Below are 17,385 nucleotides of genomic sequence, written 5' to 3'. Positions count from 1 at the left end.
AGGGTCGTGGGGAGGTATTGAAAAATGAAAACATGGAGTCCCTTGTTCACAAAACAGGAAAAACTACTCTAAATGGTACACAAATACAAAACCTTTTCTTTCCCTTTGTTCTAATAATTTACCATTGTTATTTGCTATTTAAGGTCATTCTGAGTAAAGAAAGTTTTAATTCTAAATTTTTAGCTGAATTTTAGTGTTCATCTTCATATTGTGCAATGATAATTTTAAATACAAATATGAGTATTATATTCCTATGCAGAAACACTGAAATTACACAATTCATATTTTGCAGCTCATACACGCATATACATTTTGTCCTTATTAGAACAGCAGAAATGCTGTGCAAAACTAAATCAAGGATTTTTATTTCACTTCCTGATAGTGGCAACGATACTGCCTTCTTGATGCTGCCTTCAGCTTATTGGTGAATAAGGAAGAACTGAAAGAAAGGAACTATGGCTTTTCCTGTCTTTCCCTATCTTTCTATGCCATTACTTTTGGCATAAGTGCCTGATTAATATAGGAAATAAAATAAGTAGGAAAAGGTATGACTAGGGTCATTAGTCTGTGGTGTTATTCACAAGGTCATTGCCTTCTTTCTGCGTTTGAAGCAAGACCTCACATGGTAAGTGTGGCCTCCCTGCAGACTCAGTTATAGACATACACGATGACCTGTTACTGGCCTGGAGTTCCGCTAACCTGCGCATCCTAGGGGCACTGGAATATTGCGCTCACAGCATCATCAACTCCTCTCCTCTGCTTTGTGCTCCTGCTGTGTAGTCCTTCCAAAACACAAGTTCAAAGGTAAATAGTATTAAGACTCAAGGCAGACCTGGCCAAGCATTAAGCCCAGCACAGAGCCCTTCTGAGTGCAGGGCCCCCCATGACTGCGCAGATTGTACCTCCGTGAAGCCAGCAGTTCTCTAGTCTTAACTGCAATCCACAGGGAATTCAAGGTTAGAGGAGCATGTTAAATGACACCACAAGGACACAGTCCGCAAATCCAGGGCATGGGGCGATGCAGAGTCAATGACCTGACTGCTCCAACAAGCCAGTGGGGGAACAGGAGAGAGAAAAGGCTGAAACAGACTCAACGAAATGAAACGCGAACTTGTTTGGCTCCTGATTGAAATAAACCAACGCTGAAAACACATTTCTGGACAATTAGGGAAATTTGGATGTTAACTTGTATTTGATGCTATAAAGGAAGTCTTATGAATTTAGTTAGTAGTAAAGGATAATCATATATATAGTGGTTATGCGGGAATAGACCTGATCTATGAAAGATGCAGGCCACGGTGTTTATAGATCAAATGACGAGATGTTTGAGGTTTAATGTATTTAGAACAAATGGGGCGGGGGGTAATAGTTGACATAAGATTGGCAAGATACTGAACATTTTTAAATCTGAGAGGTTCATCATTTTATTCTCTATACTTTTGTAAAGTTTTTAAAATGTTTTTTGTAATGGAAAGAAGGAAAATGTATGTGTGTGTATTTTTTAATATATATATATAATTGTTAACATGCATTCTATAAACAGTTATTTTCTTTGTAGTAAATTCTGTTTTCAACACCGAATTATTACTTTCTTTTCTTTGCAACAAATTACTAAACAGTTAATGAAAACATTTGAATTCTATGATTTATGCATAGGAATGTTGGCATGAAAGTCATTTTCTCCAACTTTGTGTTCTTTTCTTAGAGCAATATGGAAAATTTCCCAGCACATAAGACATTTTAATGTTCTTTCCTAAAGATGTAACTCTATACGTGTAAGTGGCTAATTATTCAAGTTTTTATTTAGTAACAAACTCAAGACAAATCCTATTTTTATTGAAAATTCTATTACTAAAATTGTTTGTGATAAATTAATTCATCTTATAACTCTATTAAGGAACAAATATGTTTTTTATATTATATTTTTTCTTAAAGTGAAAGAAGAAATTCACATGCACACACAATGCACATGTAGTTTAGAGACTTGTTTAGACATGAGAGTAGATTGAATTTGACTGAATATGGTCTCAAATTAATAAAACCAAAGAAGGGGGAACGTGTATTAAAATCAAGTCTTAAGAAGCAAGGTTCAGTTACACCTGATGTACAGAATTTTGTAGACCACATAACAAATATCTTCAAAGTTGGATTCAATGCTGGAAACATGAGAGTGAATATATTTTAGCCTTGCTTTCAGAGCAGTGAGATTCTTGTCTTGCTGGCATCATACTAAAAGCAGGATTAGGCTAGGACATTAGCTCAAGAGGCTTATTTGGAAAATTGCTTAGGCCAATAATTTAGGAGGGATCAGTAAGTGATCCCTGTAAATAAGGAATGTTATGTTTCCTGTAAATAAGGAAACATAGTTATTTATACCAATTCAAATTATTTCTCCAGACATGCGAGCAAATTTTCAAAGCCAAGAACTATGTTTTGTGTAATGGCCAAACTCTATGTCAGACTTTTGAAGAAATTTTTCATCTGTAAGTGTTTGGTTTTCCAACCAAATATCTCCCTGGGAAAAAACAAAAGTCATTTTAAAATGGGAGATCCCAAAAATAAAAAGTCTTTAAGTAGAGATGTTAGAGGTTTATAGCTCCCTAATTTCATTCTGATTTGTTACCTAGAGAAGAAAAAGCCAATTTCAAAACTTGGAAGATTTGAAATACTTTACTCTCTTATCAGTTTATAAAAGTTGCATCTGGCTGGCTAAGTTCTATGAAAATATCCAATTCAAAGTTGTAGAAATGGGCAACGATGATAATAATATTCAATAGTTATTGAACACTTTTCCAAAATTCAAGGCCTTTGCTAGTATTTTACATGTGTTATCTCACTGCAAATCCATGGGTATGAAATACTATGCTCACAGCTTTTCAAAAAAGTAAAGAAAATACATAAAAAAATTTAGATCATTGACATTGCTACTGTGGCCATATCTCTTTGGGACAAAAATTAGTTCTTTGACAAGAGTCCACTGTGTACAGAACAGACATAAGGATGACCTGGCAGTCTATGACACGATCAGAAACTCATGTTATTATTGTAAGAACACCATGTGTTGGATAATGGGATAATATCTGATTGACTGAATCAGATTCCCTCGGAAATAGACTCAAACTCAGAGATTCATATGCAGTAGACTTACTGGGGTGTACTCTTGGGAACAATGTCTGGGAAGAGTCTGGGAGGAAGAATTAGGTATAAGGAGAAGTTCAGCTGTAATGCTCTTGCAAAAAAGTCTCCAGCCAATCTTATGAGGAGCTCTGAAGCTGAGATGGTGCTTCAGAGGTGTCCCATGGATATCTTGGGAATTCAGCTTCCTAGGTTGAGTGTATCTTATTTAAGGATATATAAGAACATGTGCAGAAATATTCTCTGGAAAATATTAAAAACTTTTGGAGAGATTAAGAACTTTGTTTACTTATTAAAAATTCTCAAAATATTAAAAGTTCAACATTTTTGTATCTTCCTGTTGAATTAAACTACTTTTAAAAATTATGGTGCGACACTCAGTATCCCTGACATCTTTATTTTTGCTGATATGAGTATAGCTTCAACAGCTTCATTTTGGATAATATTCACCTATTTTATCTTTTCCCGTCTTTTAAATTCTTACTTTTCTAGGATTTTAGGATTCTAATAAATAGCATACAGTTGGTCATTTTAAAATCCAATCTGGCAGTTCTGGCTTTTAAGTGGAGTGTTGAGTTCATTTAAATTTATCAGTGTTTGGGGCTTTTTCTATAATGTTTCTTTGTATATTTTTATTTTTCCTACTTTTCTAATGCTTTTTTTTTTAAAAAAGTATTCATTGTTCTCTTATTTAATTTTTCTATTTTTAAATTAAAATTCTCTATTTCTAATTTTCAAGTGGTTACATTTGAAATTTTACCATGCTGACTCAGTCAAGTTTAACATCTTAAACTCCCTTTAGAAAAGCACAAGATGCTGGGTGCAGTGGTACATATCTGCAGTCCTAGCTACTTGGGAGTCTGAAGTTGGGGGATCATTTGAGCCCAGGAATTTGAGTCCAGACTGAGCAACATAGTGAAACTCCATCTCTAAAAAAAGAAAAAAAAACACAAAAATACAAAGATTGCAGAACATTTCAACTTATTCTATTTCCTACTTTCTAATTATTGTTTCTAGTATTTTAGTACTATGTATTTTTAATCTTCACAAATTAGAATATTTTATAATCATTATTTTATGAAAACAATATTTATTGAATTTTACCTTAAAGCATCCCTCCTGTTTTTGCTCTCTTTCCTTCTTGTATCTCAGGTATTCTAAGTTTATTTTCCTTCTTCCTAAGGTATAATATCTAGAACAGTAGTTGTTAATCTGTCCAGTTCTATTCTCCCGTAGAAGGCTTTTTGAAATATTTGGGGACATTTTGTCATCACAGTGGCTTCAGGGCACTTACTGGCATCTGTAGTGTGAGACAGGGACACTTAAACAAATTAAAATACACCCAGGACAGTCACCTACACAAAAGGATTGTTCTGGTTCTTCCATGACTCTCAGTGGTTTCAATGGTCTTTCTGGGTATTTCATGCAGAAAAAACACTCTTGATAAGTATTTGAGTCTAGGATCTAATTCCATGTATATAAATAGATATAATATTTATAAATAGGATCTAATTCCATGTATATAAATAGATATAATACTTATAAACATGGAATTAGAAATATACATATTATAAATATGAATATTATATAAACATAAATGGAATATTTGGCACAGTTTTAACACACTGAATTTTTCAGGAATGCAAAAGCCATGTAAACCAAGGAATTTTGTTCTGAATCTTACCAATAATAGCAATATTTCAGAAAATCACATCACTAATGGCTATCTCAGTCTTCGTGTCTGAGTTGTCAATACAACCATCTGTTAATTTGAATATGCAGCTGTCACATTGCTGGTAACTCTATGTATGTGCACACACATACTTGTACATATACATATTGGGTTTTAGCCCTCACCCACAAATAAAGTTGCAAATATGCCTACTCTGCTAATATTTTTTTCCCCTAATGCAGTAGTTAGACAATTAGCAGACATTTCATGGAGTTACATGCCGCTAGAGCTGGCAAAGATGTATCATACTTTTGCTTCAGAAAATAATAGCGTAAACATCAAAGAGGACGTTAATTCTGTCTAACATGTGATGTGTACCTGATACTAGGGGAGTAAAATATAAGGCTGGATAAAGGAGAATTCATTGACATTGAACCACTCATCAGTGGGACGGTTCCTTATAGCCTGGACATAACCATGGTCTGGGGAATTGATCTAGACTGGAAACTGGATGAGGGACCATGAATATCCACTGCAGCTTCCCGCAGAACGATCTTTATATATGATACCATCACATGGTGTCTCTCTGGAATCCCATTGCGTCCTATTACTTGCAGAAAAATCTCGAATCCCTTAACGTGCCAAAAGATTAGACCCTTCCAGATGTGACCAATTTACTTCTTTAGCTTCCTCATCTCCTCTTTCTAACCCGATTACCTCAAGTGCCAGTATATCCTACACTCTGAGGCCCCTATTCTTTGCATGTCCAGTTTACTCTCTTTGCTTCTTTCCTCAACTCCTCTATTGGGTTGAAACTAATTCTGGGTCTCCACAGCACCGACTTGGCATATCTTTTTTTTCTAGCATGACATTTAATTGCACTGTATTGTAATCGTTAATTTATTTTTCTCTCTGTTACTTAGTGAGGGAGTTCTTCATAGCTCCTAGCAGGGTGCTTGGTAAGGAAAGTGTTTGGTAGGGCGTAGGAGCTCAATAGGTGTTAGCCGTTAGAGGAAAACAACACTGCAACTTTTCAATACCATTCACTCTTCAACTGAGGCTCGTCAGGCTACTTTCAGTTTCACTTTTACTATCTTTCTTTTATTGATCACTTTCTCTTCGTACTCTCTTCCCTCCCACCTACAACGCGGCGGCGAAGGAGAGTGGCTCACCCGAACATTCTCTGGGCGCCCCCAGGACACCAGTTGCACTCCCTCCCACCAAGGAAGCCACATCAGCGAGCTGACGTCACGCGCATCGTGGCGTTCCGTCGTCGGGTCCTCCCATCAGATCATTCCTGATGTCTCTTTTGTTGTTAGTCGGGAGAGCCTGAGGTCTGCTGGTACTGAAGGCTAGCAACTAAGAGTACCAGAGGCGAGACCTCGCGGACCCCTGCTTCCCCAAAGTAAGGTGACTCGTTTTCCGAAATGACGCACTGGCAGCTGAGGGCGCAGGCACAGGCGCTCGCCGCGGTATCCCTGGGAACGACGCCGCACGTAGCCGGGGCTGGGTGGGGGTGCGCGTGCGCGTGCGCAGTGCGCGGCTTTTGCTCGGACCTGGAGTAATGAGAGTGGACGTTTGATTCCAACAGGATGGCCCATTTCTCCAGCGAGGACCAGGCGATGCTGCAGGCGATGCTGAGGCGGTTGTTCCAGAGCGTGAAGGAGAAAATCACGGGTGCCCCTTCCCTGGAGTGTGCCGAAGAGATTCTTTTACATCTGGAGGAAACTGATGAAAATTTTCACAAGTAAAATTGCTTTTGATGTTTTAAGCCTATAAACCATCGATCCAGAGAGGGTCCAGAGAAGGGTCAACAGTGTTAATTTATTTATTGTTTTTAAAATAGTGCCCAACTTGGAGGTTTACTTTTTCTCTTATTTGCCAAAACGTCGAATTTATTTAACATTTATTCTTATTTCCTAAAGCTTCTGCCGCCTCTTTCTCTCTATATTTTTTGAGGGGGAGTCTCGCTCTGTCGCCCAGGCCGGAATGTAATGGCTCGATCTCCGCTCACTACAACCTCCGCCTCCCGGGTTCAAGCGATTCTCCAGCCTCAGCCTCCCGAGTAGCTGGGATTGCAGGTGCCCGCCACCGCGGCCGGCTAATTTTTGTGTTTTTAGTAGAGACGGTGTTTCACCATGTGGGCTAGGTTGGTCTCGAACTCCCTACCTCAAGTGATCCGCCCGTCTCGGCCTCCCAAAGTGCTGGGATCACAGGCGTGAGCCACCGCGCCCGGCCGCCGCCTCTATATTTTTACTGCCACAACCAGCATATCCTAATAATCCATTCCCCCGCGCCTCACCCGGGCAGCACAGTAATATTAATTATAAATTATTCATGTTCTTTGAAAGAATACTTCCACGATTTCAAGGGATTCCTGTCAGTATACAGTACTTAAAAGCAATGAGTTCCAACGATCTTTGTTCCTTGAAAATATCTGCTGATATTTTAAGTGGCCGCACGAATTACTCACTCTGAGCACTGCAAAGGGAATACCGAAGTGAGATCATTAGTTTCCTCTGGAATAGTTTCTTAAGTTTGTCTAGAGGAGTAAGCCACATAACTAAATGTCTGTGATACATGTCAGAAATATAAGAGACAGAGAAGGGGGGTCAGAGTGCTCTGCGTGTGGGAGCAGTAGGAAAAAGAGGTTTAATGATAGAAGTGCCATTTGAGGTAGATCTTGAAGATCTTTAGAGACTTATGTTTTTCTTTTGGTTCATATAATTTAAGTTAAGCCTCTGAATTTACAAGTCTACCTCCAGGTGCTTCCATTCATTATTATTACTAATGTTTTTAACCCAGTGTTTGCATTTCATTTTGATCTGACAGAGATGACACTGGAAATTTTTCTAGTTATACTACCTTTACTGTCTCTTGGATACCCTTGGGTACCCTGAAGTTCTACTTATCTGGAACTCCTGTCAATATCATATATGTGCATCAGGGTATTTTTGAGTTCTTTGAAATTCTATGTACAAGTTTGTGTTTACTTGCAGTTTTATAGGGGGAGTATTTACAGTTTTCACTACCTTCTCAATTGAGTTTTAAAAAGTGTGAAAGGAATCTTCATTAATAATGGAGTTTCTAATTTCTTTGGTATTTACGATTATACTTACGGTTTCTTTTTCTTTTGTATTTCCATGATTTTCTTGTTTATTTTCTCATTAAATTCACTACTAATACCTGTTATTAGATGATAACGTTATTTATTTTGGTGCTACCAGAGACTAGCTTTTACTGGTTAGCTACAGATTTATTAAACAGTGGAGTACAGAAAAATTAGAACTTTTTCAAATATAGGCTGGGTGATTAATGTTTTGTAAACTCATGTAATAATTTACCTCACACACATCCACATAAAGCATTATGTTTGGGATTTCATTTCTGGTTTTTATTTTACATGGAGTTGTTTAAGTCATCTGTAAATTACTGAGTAAGTTTTTGCTAGTATCATATTCTGGGAATTTGGCCATTTCATCTAGATTTTCAAACTTATTTATAAAAAGGTTTTCATGAATATCCTGTTATCTTTTTAGTATTTCCAGTATCTGTAGTCATGTTCCCTTTTGTTTTTATTTGTATCTTCCCACTTTTGCTCTTCATCTGTTATGCTAGAAGTTTATTAGCCTTTTCAAAGAACCAACTTTTGGCTTTTTCTCCTCGTTATATAGACACATATATTATTTTTTGTTTTATCAATTTCTGCTCTTTGTTTTTTTCTATGTGGGAAACCTTTAACCTTATTGTACTGAATACTAGCTCATTAATTTGCAGCTCTTTTTTCTTTTTTAATAGAAGCATTTAAAGCTACACGTTTGCCTATAATTATTGCTTTATCTGTATCAATTTAAAACTTTTTTTCAAGTTAAAATTGGGTCATTGTAGTTCCTCTCCGAAGTCTAATGACTCTTGTAATACTGTATTACCCTTCAACAGCTCATTAGGTAGATTAAATAAATGCTTGTTGCATGACATGCACAGTTAATAGTTACTATTTACTAAAGAGATTTACTTGTGGCCTCCTAAAAAACAATCCAGAGAGACTCAAATTATAGCTAGTTTATAGTCTTAAAGGTAAGACTTGACATAGAATCCTAAAAGTCATTTTTAGTCTTAATAATAGGATAAAATTTATAATGTCTTAGCTGCAGTAGTCTGAGATCTGTGTCTTAGGAGGAGGGAACTCTTTTATATGAGAAAGGAAAAGAGGAGCTGCTTAACTTTGGTCTCTCCATGGAATTTTACAATCTCAGAGTTGGAAGGGATCTTAAAGGTCAGTTATTTCAGGTGCTCATATTTCCATTTCTTTTTCTTTCAGTGACCTGACTCTCCTTCAACACTTATTCTAGAGTCACTTAGGTGTGTCTTCCTTTCCAAAGTGTTTATTTCAGAATTACTCATTTTTCCACCTCCACTATTAGAACATTGATTCGTTAAATCCAAGTGATGTTGACCTGTAATTAGCAAGAAAAATAATCTAATTAAAAGACTTATAGGGGAGGCTGGGCATGGTGGCTCATGCCTGTAATCCCAGCACTTTGAGAGGCCAAGGCAGGTGAATCACTTGAGTTCAGGAGTTCAAGACCAGCCTAGCGAACATGGTGAAACCCTGTCTCTACTGAAAATACAAAAAAAAAAAAAAAATTAGCCGGGCATGGTAGTGGGTGCTGGTAATCCCAGCTACTCAGGAGGCTGAGGCAGGAGAATTGCTTGACCCTGGGAGGCAGAGGTTGCAGTGAGCCGAGATCGTGCCACTGCACTCCAGCCTGGGTGACAGAGAGAGAGACTCCGTCTCAAAAACAACAACAACAACAACAACAAAAAACCAAAAAGACTTATAGGGGAAATTGTTGCTGGGCTGTTAACATTTTTGTAAGAAGATGGTTTTTAAGACAGTTAATGTAATTTCAGGTGGTATAATAAAGTGAGGGAAAGTGTCATTTGGGGAGAAACTACAGTGTAGGCAGTACAGCCATATCTAGACATTTGTTTTATGGGACAGCTAACATACTATCTCTGCTTTTCATAGGCACTTCTCTTTTTCTACAGTAAACTGTATACACTCTCTAAAAGATCCAAGCTCTCCTGCCTTTCTCTAAGAATGGCAGCAAGGATTTGAGGCCTGGTGGGAGGGGAGAGAGAGAAGAGTACGTTGCTTTCATTATGTGTGTATGTGTTGTGTAAATTTTTACACGCAGACTGGCTCCCTGTAAAGCAGCATTGCTTTTCAACCTTTGCTGCACTGGAACCATCTGGGGGCTATTTAGAAAAATACTGATGCTTAGTCCCCACCACAGATGAATCAAAATTTCCTGGGGGTTTTGGCAGAGGGAAGTGGTAGAGGCTGGGCCCTGGAGGTTTTAAAGCAAAGCTTTCTATGTAAGTCTAATGTGCAGTTAGAGTTGAGACCTCAGAATTAGAGCATAGTTACTGGCATTTCAGTGAGAAATAGAGTGTTTTGTTGTTTTTTTAAAAGTACCTACCAATTCTAATGATTTTAACAGTCTCTAATGCAGAGGGTCATCGTTATAGCCTTCTCACTTGATATGTTTTTGATACAGAGGGACCATAGTAATATTTATTGAATTGAGTGTTATTCTTTGTTTTACAGAAGAATTCACCGGTGACTTTTTAATTAGGGAACTCTAGTATGTTTAAGAGGTAATTCAAGAAAATATTCCCTCGGGGCTGGGCTCAGTGGCTCACACCTGTAAACCCAGCACTTTGAGAAGTCGAGGTGGGCAGATCACTTAACACCAGGAGTTCAAGACCAGCTTGGACAACATGGCAAAACCCTGTCTCTACAAAAAATATAAAAATTAGTTGGGTGCAGTGGCATGTGCCTGTAGTCCCAGCTACTCAGAAAGCTGAGGTGGGAGGATCTCTTGTGCCCAGAATGTCAAGGCTGCAGTGAGCCTAGGTAACAGAGCGAGACCCTGTCACAAAATAAAACAAAATAAATAAAATAAAATAAAATAAGAAAGTATTCATTCTGTAAGGTGATTTACCTGTATGGAGAAAATTACCAAGAATTATGTGTCCTTCTATAATTAATGAATGCATTCCTAGTAACTTTATTATGAGCCAAAAGCTTATTTTTTGACCTAAAAAGTTGTAGGAGATGTAAAATACTTGTTCTTTCTATTATATGGCCTTATGTATACTAATGTGATATATAAGATTAAGTTCATCATATAATAAATTCAATGATTCTAAAATACAGCCTATTTTAAGAATTCCTCATGTCAACATTACAATTCATAACCACTAATAAAATATTTTTTAAAAAATTAGTGATAATTTTTTCCATATATGATTGAATATTTCTTGCCTTTTTATTTTTTTATTTTATTTATTTATTTTTTTTGAGACGATGTCTCACTCTTGTCCCCCAGGCTGGAGTGCAATGGCATGATCTCAGCTCGCTGCAACCTCTGCCTCCCAGGTTCAAGTGATTCTCTTGCCTCAGCCTCCCAAGTAGCTAAGATTACAGGTGTTTGCCACCACGCCTGGCTAATTTTTGTATTTTTAGTAGAGACGAGGTTTCACCATGTTGGTCAGGCTGGTCTTGAACTCCTGACCTCAGGTGATCTGCCCACCACCTTGGCCTTCCAAAGTGCTGGGATTACAGGTGTGAGCCACTGCTCCTGACCGCTTGCCTTTTTAAATAGCTAAAAGGATGACTTTTTTGAAACAAACTTGTACCAATGAGATTTTTTAATGTACTTATGTTGTAAGAGTAACCTCTCCGTATTTTTATATAAACATTACGAACATGTCAGAAGTTTATCATAGAAAAAAAAATTGCATTTTTTTGGGAAATATAGGTAAGAAATCTGGCAAAAAGAGAATGGAAAAAGTGAATGTTCTTTTACTCAATTTGGTAAAGTTTTTCAATGTAAATGTGAAGAATTTCAAATAATCAGTTACTACTGATGAATAATCAGACACATTGCTGTATGTTTTAATTGAGCTGCTTCTGAAGTGTGGTGAGCTCCACTCCACATGTCTTTCTTTATTAACAAACAGCTGTCTTTTTAGGTTTTAATGTCCCTCTTTGAAGAATATTTTGTAAAAGATATTTTGCATTCATTTGGTAATAGTGTCATTGGTACCAAATTTTTATTTTTTCTCATTAAATTACTTCTAAAGTAACAAGGTTAGTCAAATGTATGCATAGTATATTTGGTGAGAAAAATGTCAAAGTATATGAAAACACTATTATGTAAAAAACATTTTAATATTAAGATTATCATCACCATTAAGTAGTGGGCAATTGAAAGTAAGGTCAGGTGTTTTGCCTAAGGTTGCAAGATTGGTCAGTGTAAACTTCAGAATTTAAACCTGAAGCAAACCTGCTTCACAGATTATTAAAAGAAGTATAGCAATTATAAACTTGTTTATTCGTTGTACAGACTATATCTTAAAAAACTAGAGGCCGGGCATGGTGGCTCACGCCTGTAATCCCAACACTTTGGGAGGCCGAGGCGAGTGGATCACGAGGTCAGGAGATCGAGACCATCCTGGCTAACACGGTGAAACCCCGTCTCTACTAAAAAAAAAAAAATTAGCCAGGTGTGGTGGCGGGCATCTGTAGTCGTCGCTACTCGGTAGGCTGAGGCAGGAGAATGGCGTGAACCTGGGAGGCGGAGCTTGCAGAGAGCCGAGATCGCGTCACTGCACTCCAGCCTGGGTGACAGAGCGAGACTCCGTCACAAAAAATAAATAAATAAATAAATAAAAAATAAAAAACTAGAAAAACCAGTTAGAAAAATTTAAAATGAATAGTGAATACTAATAGACTTTAATTAAAATAGAAATAAGTGGAAGTTGTATTTATTGTAACCCATGTCAGTCAAAGCTATATTATTCCTATTATAGTCTCGATATTTTAAGCACAATTGGAATATGTGAAATCTGAAAATGTTAACAGCCTGCTTAAAGATCTGAAAGGATAGGACCTAAATTTTAGCAGAATTGATTTAAATTAAACCTTGTAAGGATATTCTAAAATAAGTTATTAAGCATGATATAGGTTTTTCAGAGAGCTTTTGTGTTTCTTGAATAGAAATTTTAAACATATAGGACATTCATAGTATCTTTAGTGGTTGGAATTTTGTAATTCTTCGGGAGAGACGCTATTGAAAGGCCAGACTAGCATTGTGCAGACCATATTTGGTCTGTGGACATGTTTACTTTGACTACATTAAAAAAAAGAAGAAAAGTACCATTTAAAAATTGAGAGATAATGTATAAAAATCAGTTTTCTGGCTTTCCTTAAAATGTTAAAAGGTTAACACCAGGCTCATATTTCTTAAAGACAGTTGCTGGAACTATATAGAAGCTTTGCCTTTAGTTGGGGCATGTCTTTATTTTACCACAACCTCTATCCATTCTCTCTCATACATGGCTTGCTTTCCTTTACCAGACTACCCTCTGTAGCATCTGAGTTTGCACTCCCTGGGATAAGTATAAGGGCCTTTTGAAAGTCTTCTTGAGGTATCCAGGGCTTTTGTACAAAATAACTAGAATATATTATATCTCCAGATTATTTTCTAAAAATGATGCAACGGGAATATTTGATTAAAAAATCAGTAGTACTATCAATCTTTGGGATTAGATATAGATTTCATAAGAGCTAGTACATAGCACCAATACTATCAGGATTACAATGTAGGAAACACAGTACTTAATTTTGTAGAACTGTATTTATCCCAGCTCCATTGCAATAATAATTTTCCTTTTTTAGATTCATGGGATTCATGCCTAGGTTTGTTACATGGGTATATTGCGTGATGCTGAGGTTTGGGCTTCTATTGATCATGTCACTTAAATAGTGAACATAGTATTTTGATAGGTAGTTTTTTTTAACTCTTGCTCCCTCCCTGTCTCCCATCTTTTGGAGTCCTGGTGTCTGTTGTTCCCATCGTTGCAACAATATTTTCTATCCTGGGGCACCATTATAGAATAGCAGCTTCATTTAGTATTTTATGGGGTGTTGCCATGAATTCCGATGGTAAAAGAAACAACATAAAATTAATTGTTGGATGAGTATTTAAAGTCTTGAGATACTCTTACCTAAAGAGTAGAAGGCCCACTTGAAGAAATGACTCTGTTCATTAATTTGGAATTGGAGGCTCTGAAAGTTTCTCAATGGTCCCTGAGTCAGTAGAATACCCTTAGCTATGGGCAGCCTGGCAGTCCTTTCATTGTAAAGGGGCTTGCCACTCCTGGAGATTTTTTTTTTTTCCCTAGAAGATTCTTTTGAAAAGAGCAGTAACCTCTTAAGACAAGATTTAACCCTGGGGTCCTTGGGTTCATTTAATTTAGAACTTGGACTAAAACCTGGAAGCATTTTGAATGAGTCTTCTGGAGATATTACTGTGGTCATAGGTAAAAATTAAGTCACTAGAAAAAAGCATGAGGTTATTCCGATTTCCACAGAGTAGATTTAAAAGTTTTCCAGGATATTTGCTATTTACAGCTGTTGCTAAATGGTGGAGATTTTTTTAAAAAATGAATTTTATTTTTAAAATGACAAATAATAATTGAACATATTTATGGAGTACATAGTGATGTTTCCATACATGTATAGCGGTCAGATCAAGGTAATTAGTGTATTCATCATCTCAGACATTTATCATTTCTTTCAATTCAGTATCTTCCTTCTAGGTATTTGAAACTGTATAATGTATTATTGTTACTATGGTCATCCTACCCTAGAATAGAACACTAGAACTTACTCCTCCTGTCTAGCTGTATCCCTTCCTTCTCTATAGGGATTTTTTTGATGTGTCTTTTATTTTAGAATTGTGTTTTTCTTAGCTTTATTGACTACATTTTGTTAATGTGCTTGTGTTAAATTTCCTCACGGCCTCAATTACAGATATATCCTTTGTGTTGCTTACAGATTGGGCTTTATAACAAAGCATACCCAAGAGTTCTACTTCTCATTGTGGTTTTGATTTGCATTTCTCTAATGACCAGTGATAATGAGCATTTTTTCATATGTTTGTTGGCTGCGTAAATGTCTTCTTTTGAGAAGTGTCTGTTCATATGCTTCACCCACTTTTTGATGGAGTTGTTTTTTTCTTGTAAATTTGTTAAAGTTCTTTGTAGATTCTGGATATTAGCCCTTAGTCAGATGAGTAGATTGCAAAAATTTTCTCCCATTCTGTAGGTTGCCTGTTCATTCTGGTGATAGTTTCTTTTGCTGTGCAGAAGCTCTTTAGTTTAATTAGATCGCATTTGTCAATTTTGACTTTTGTTGCCATTGCTTTTGGTATTTTAGTCATGAAGTCTTTGCCCATGCCTATGTCCTGAATGATATTGCCCAAGTTTTCTTCTAGGGTTTTTATGGTTTTAGGTCTTACGTTTAAGTCTTCAATTCATCTTGAGTTAATTTTTGTATAAGGCGTAAGGAAGGGATCCAGTTTCAGCTTTCTGCGTATGGCTAGCCAGTTTTCCCAACACCATTTATTAAACAGGGAATCCTTTCCCCATTGCTTGTTTTTGTCAGGTTTGTCAAAGATCAGATGGTTTTACATGTGTGGCATTATTTCTGAGGCCTCTGTTCTGTTCCATTGGTCTATATATCTGTTTTGGTACTAGTACCATGCTGTTTTGGTTAGCCTTGTATCTTATAGTTTGAAGTCAGGTAGCGTGATGCCTCCAGCTTTGTTCTTTTTGGAAAGTAGTGATACTTTTATGGAATTGAAATATCAGATGTTCTGATTCTTGATTCATTGGGTTCCTAGTTGTGATGCATGGTTGTGGTAGAGAACAAAGAGCTTTTTTTTTTTTTTTTTGAGATGGAGTCTTGCTGTGTCACCCAGGCTGGAGTGTAATGGCACAATCTCGGCTCACTGCAACTTCCACCTCCTGGGCTCAAGCGATTCTCCTGCCTCAGCCTCCCAAGTAGCTGGGATTATAAGCATGTGCCACCATGCCCAGCTAATTTTTTTGTATTTTTAGTAGAGCTGGGGTTTCACCATGTTGCCCAGGCTGGTCTTGAACTCCTGACCTCTGGTGATCCACCTGCTTCGGCCTCCCAAAGTACTGGGATTACAGGCGTGAGCCGCTGTGCCCAGCCCAAAGAGCTTTTTTGACTTACCTCATCGTGCACATCTGCCAAGTCTGTTTCAGAGCCAACTGTGTGTAGAAGCAGTTGTCAGATATTACAAAATTGAGGACATATTTAAAGGGTTCTCTTGAAACCTTAATTTTTGAATTTTTTTCTTACCAGTGTGATTTCACTGTTTTGTATGGAATGTGCAAAGATTTGGTTTAAAATTAGACATACACAAATGAAATAATGAATAAATATTTAGTATACATAGGAAGTTTCCATGTATATGGGAAGATCTTCAAATAATATAAGGCAATGATGAATTACCAAAAGAAGCACAGACTATTTACATGATGATTAGAGGCTGTTTTCTATGATATATGATTCAGTAAACTTTGGGTTTTGTTTTTCTTGGACTGTATTTCTGAAAATTAATGTTTGCTATTTCAATCTAATGTTATAAGACATTAGATTTACAAAATAGCTTAGGCTTCCTCTTCTGCTATTCTAAATACTTATTCCCTTAAAGCATAGAATTTACTATCTAAACATCGAATATAAATATTGAACATTTTAAAGAAAATTCAATCAATAATTAAAATATTTAAGTAAATTATACTTTTAAATTTAATATGCTAGTTATAATTTTGGGGGAATAAAATGTAATTTTTGTTGCAAAATGAAAGAAATTGAAATAATTACAAATTGGTAAAGATATGAGTATTACATTTATTTATTTCCCTTTTCACTCAATTTACAACTATAAAATATCTTATAACACTTCTGATATTTTTACATCTTTGGGACTCTGGGATTATGGGATTAACATGGGCTTTGGAGTAAAGTGAATGAATTAGTAGCTTATGAATTTAACTAGGTTTTTTCATGTTTTGAATCTGTGTCCTCATCTATTTTACCTATCATATGGTAAATAGAATAATATCAATAAAGTGCTTAGCACAGAGTTTAGCATGGTAGTTACTTACAAGTTAGTTTATCACCTTTTTCTTTTTGAGGTGGAGTCTTGCTCTGTCACCAAGCTGGAGTGCAGTGGCGCAATCTTGGCTCACTGCAACCTCCGCCTCCCGGGTTCAAGTGATTCTCCTGCCTCAGCCTCCCGAGTAACTGGGACTACAGCCACATGCCACCACGCCCAGCTAATTTTTGTATTTTTGGTAGAAATGGGATTTCACCATACTGGCCAGGATGGTCTCGATCTCCTGACCTTGTGATCCGCCCACGTTGGCCTCCCAAAGTGCTGGGATCACAGGCGTGAGTCACTGCACCCGGCCAGTTTATCGCTTTCTCATATGAAGATCAACATGGTTGAAGGTTTGTTGGGAATTTTGAATGTAGCCTCGTTTAAGTAGAGATACTCTTATAAAGAGATTTGATTGATTAGGTATTTAAAGTCCAGGCCAAGGAAGCAGTATTTGACCATGAAAGATAATAGGCAGCCAATTGTTATAAATTCAGCAAATATTTATTGAGGCATTATGTGCATGCA

At 36.8% G+C, this 17,385-nt stretch overlaps 1 protein-coding gene across 22 annotated transcripts in view, besides 2 other annotated features; it reads left to right on the top strand.

Moving 5' to 3' along the window:
• Positions 5,797 to 5,946: an enhancer, noted in NCBI's record as "active region_25019". NCBI's record gives its function as "activates an Ori minimal core promoter by ATAC-STARR-seq in GM12878 lymphoblastoid cells {active_cell/tissue: GM12878}" and the evidence as "EXISTENCE:reporter gene assay evidence [ECO:0000049][PMID:35858748]".
• Positions 6,101 to 17,385, top strand: part of TBC1D32 (TBC1 domain family member 32) — a 255,236-nt gene continuing 243,951 nt past the window's right edge. For 15 of the 22 annotated variants that reach the window (NR_104452.2, XR_942346.3, XM_047418310.1 and 12 more), the window contains exon 1: positions 6,350 to 6,554. Coding sequence is in view for 20 of the 22 variants with exons in the window: in XM_047418310.1 (XP_047274266.1) it covers positions 6,400 to 6,554 (155 nt within the window). In the remaining 2 variants the exon portion in view is untranslated. Of the gene's footprint in view, positions 6,218 to 6,349; positions 6,555 to 17,385 lie in introns of those variants that run through there. The other 7 variants (XM_047418311.1, NM_001367759.1, XM_011535570.2 and 4 more) reach the window with 2 other exon arrangements.
• Positions 6,387 to 6,436: a silencer, noted in NCBI's record as "silent region_17513". NCBI's record gives its function as "represses an Ori minimal core promoter by ATAC-STARR-seq in GM12878 lymphoblastoid cells {active_cell/tissue: GM12878}" and the evidence as "EXISTENCE:reporter gene assay evidence [ECO:0000049][PMID:35858748]".

The sequence above is a fragment of the Homo sapiens genome, chromosome 6, assembly GCF_000001405.40.
Source record: "Homo sapiens chromosome 6, GRCh38.p14 Primary Assembly".
NCBI classification, from domain to species: domain Eukaryota; kingdom Metazoa; phylum Chordata; class Mammalia; order Primates; family Hominidae; genus Homo; species Homo sapiens.
This window is presented reverse-complemented; position numbering and strand designations above follow the sequence as displayed.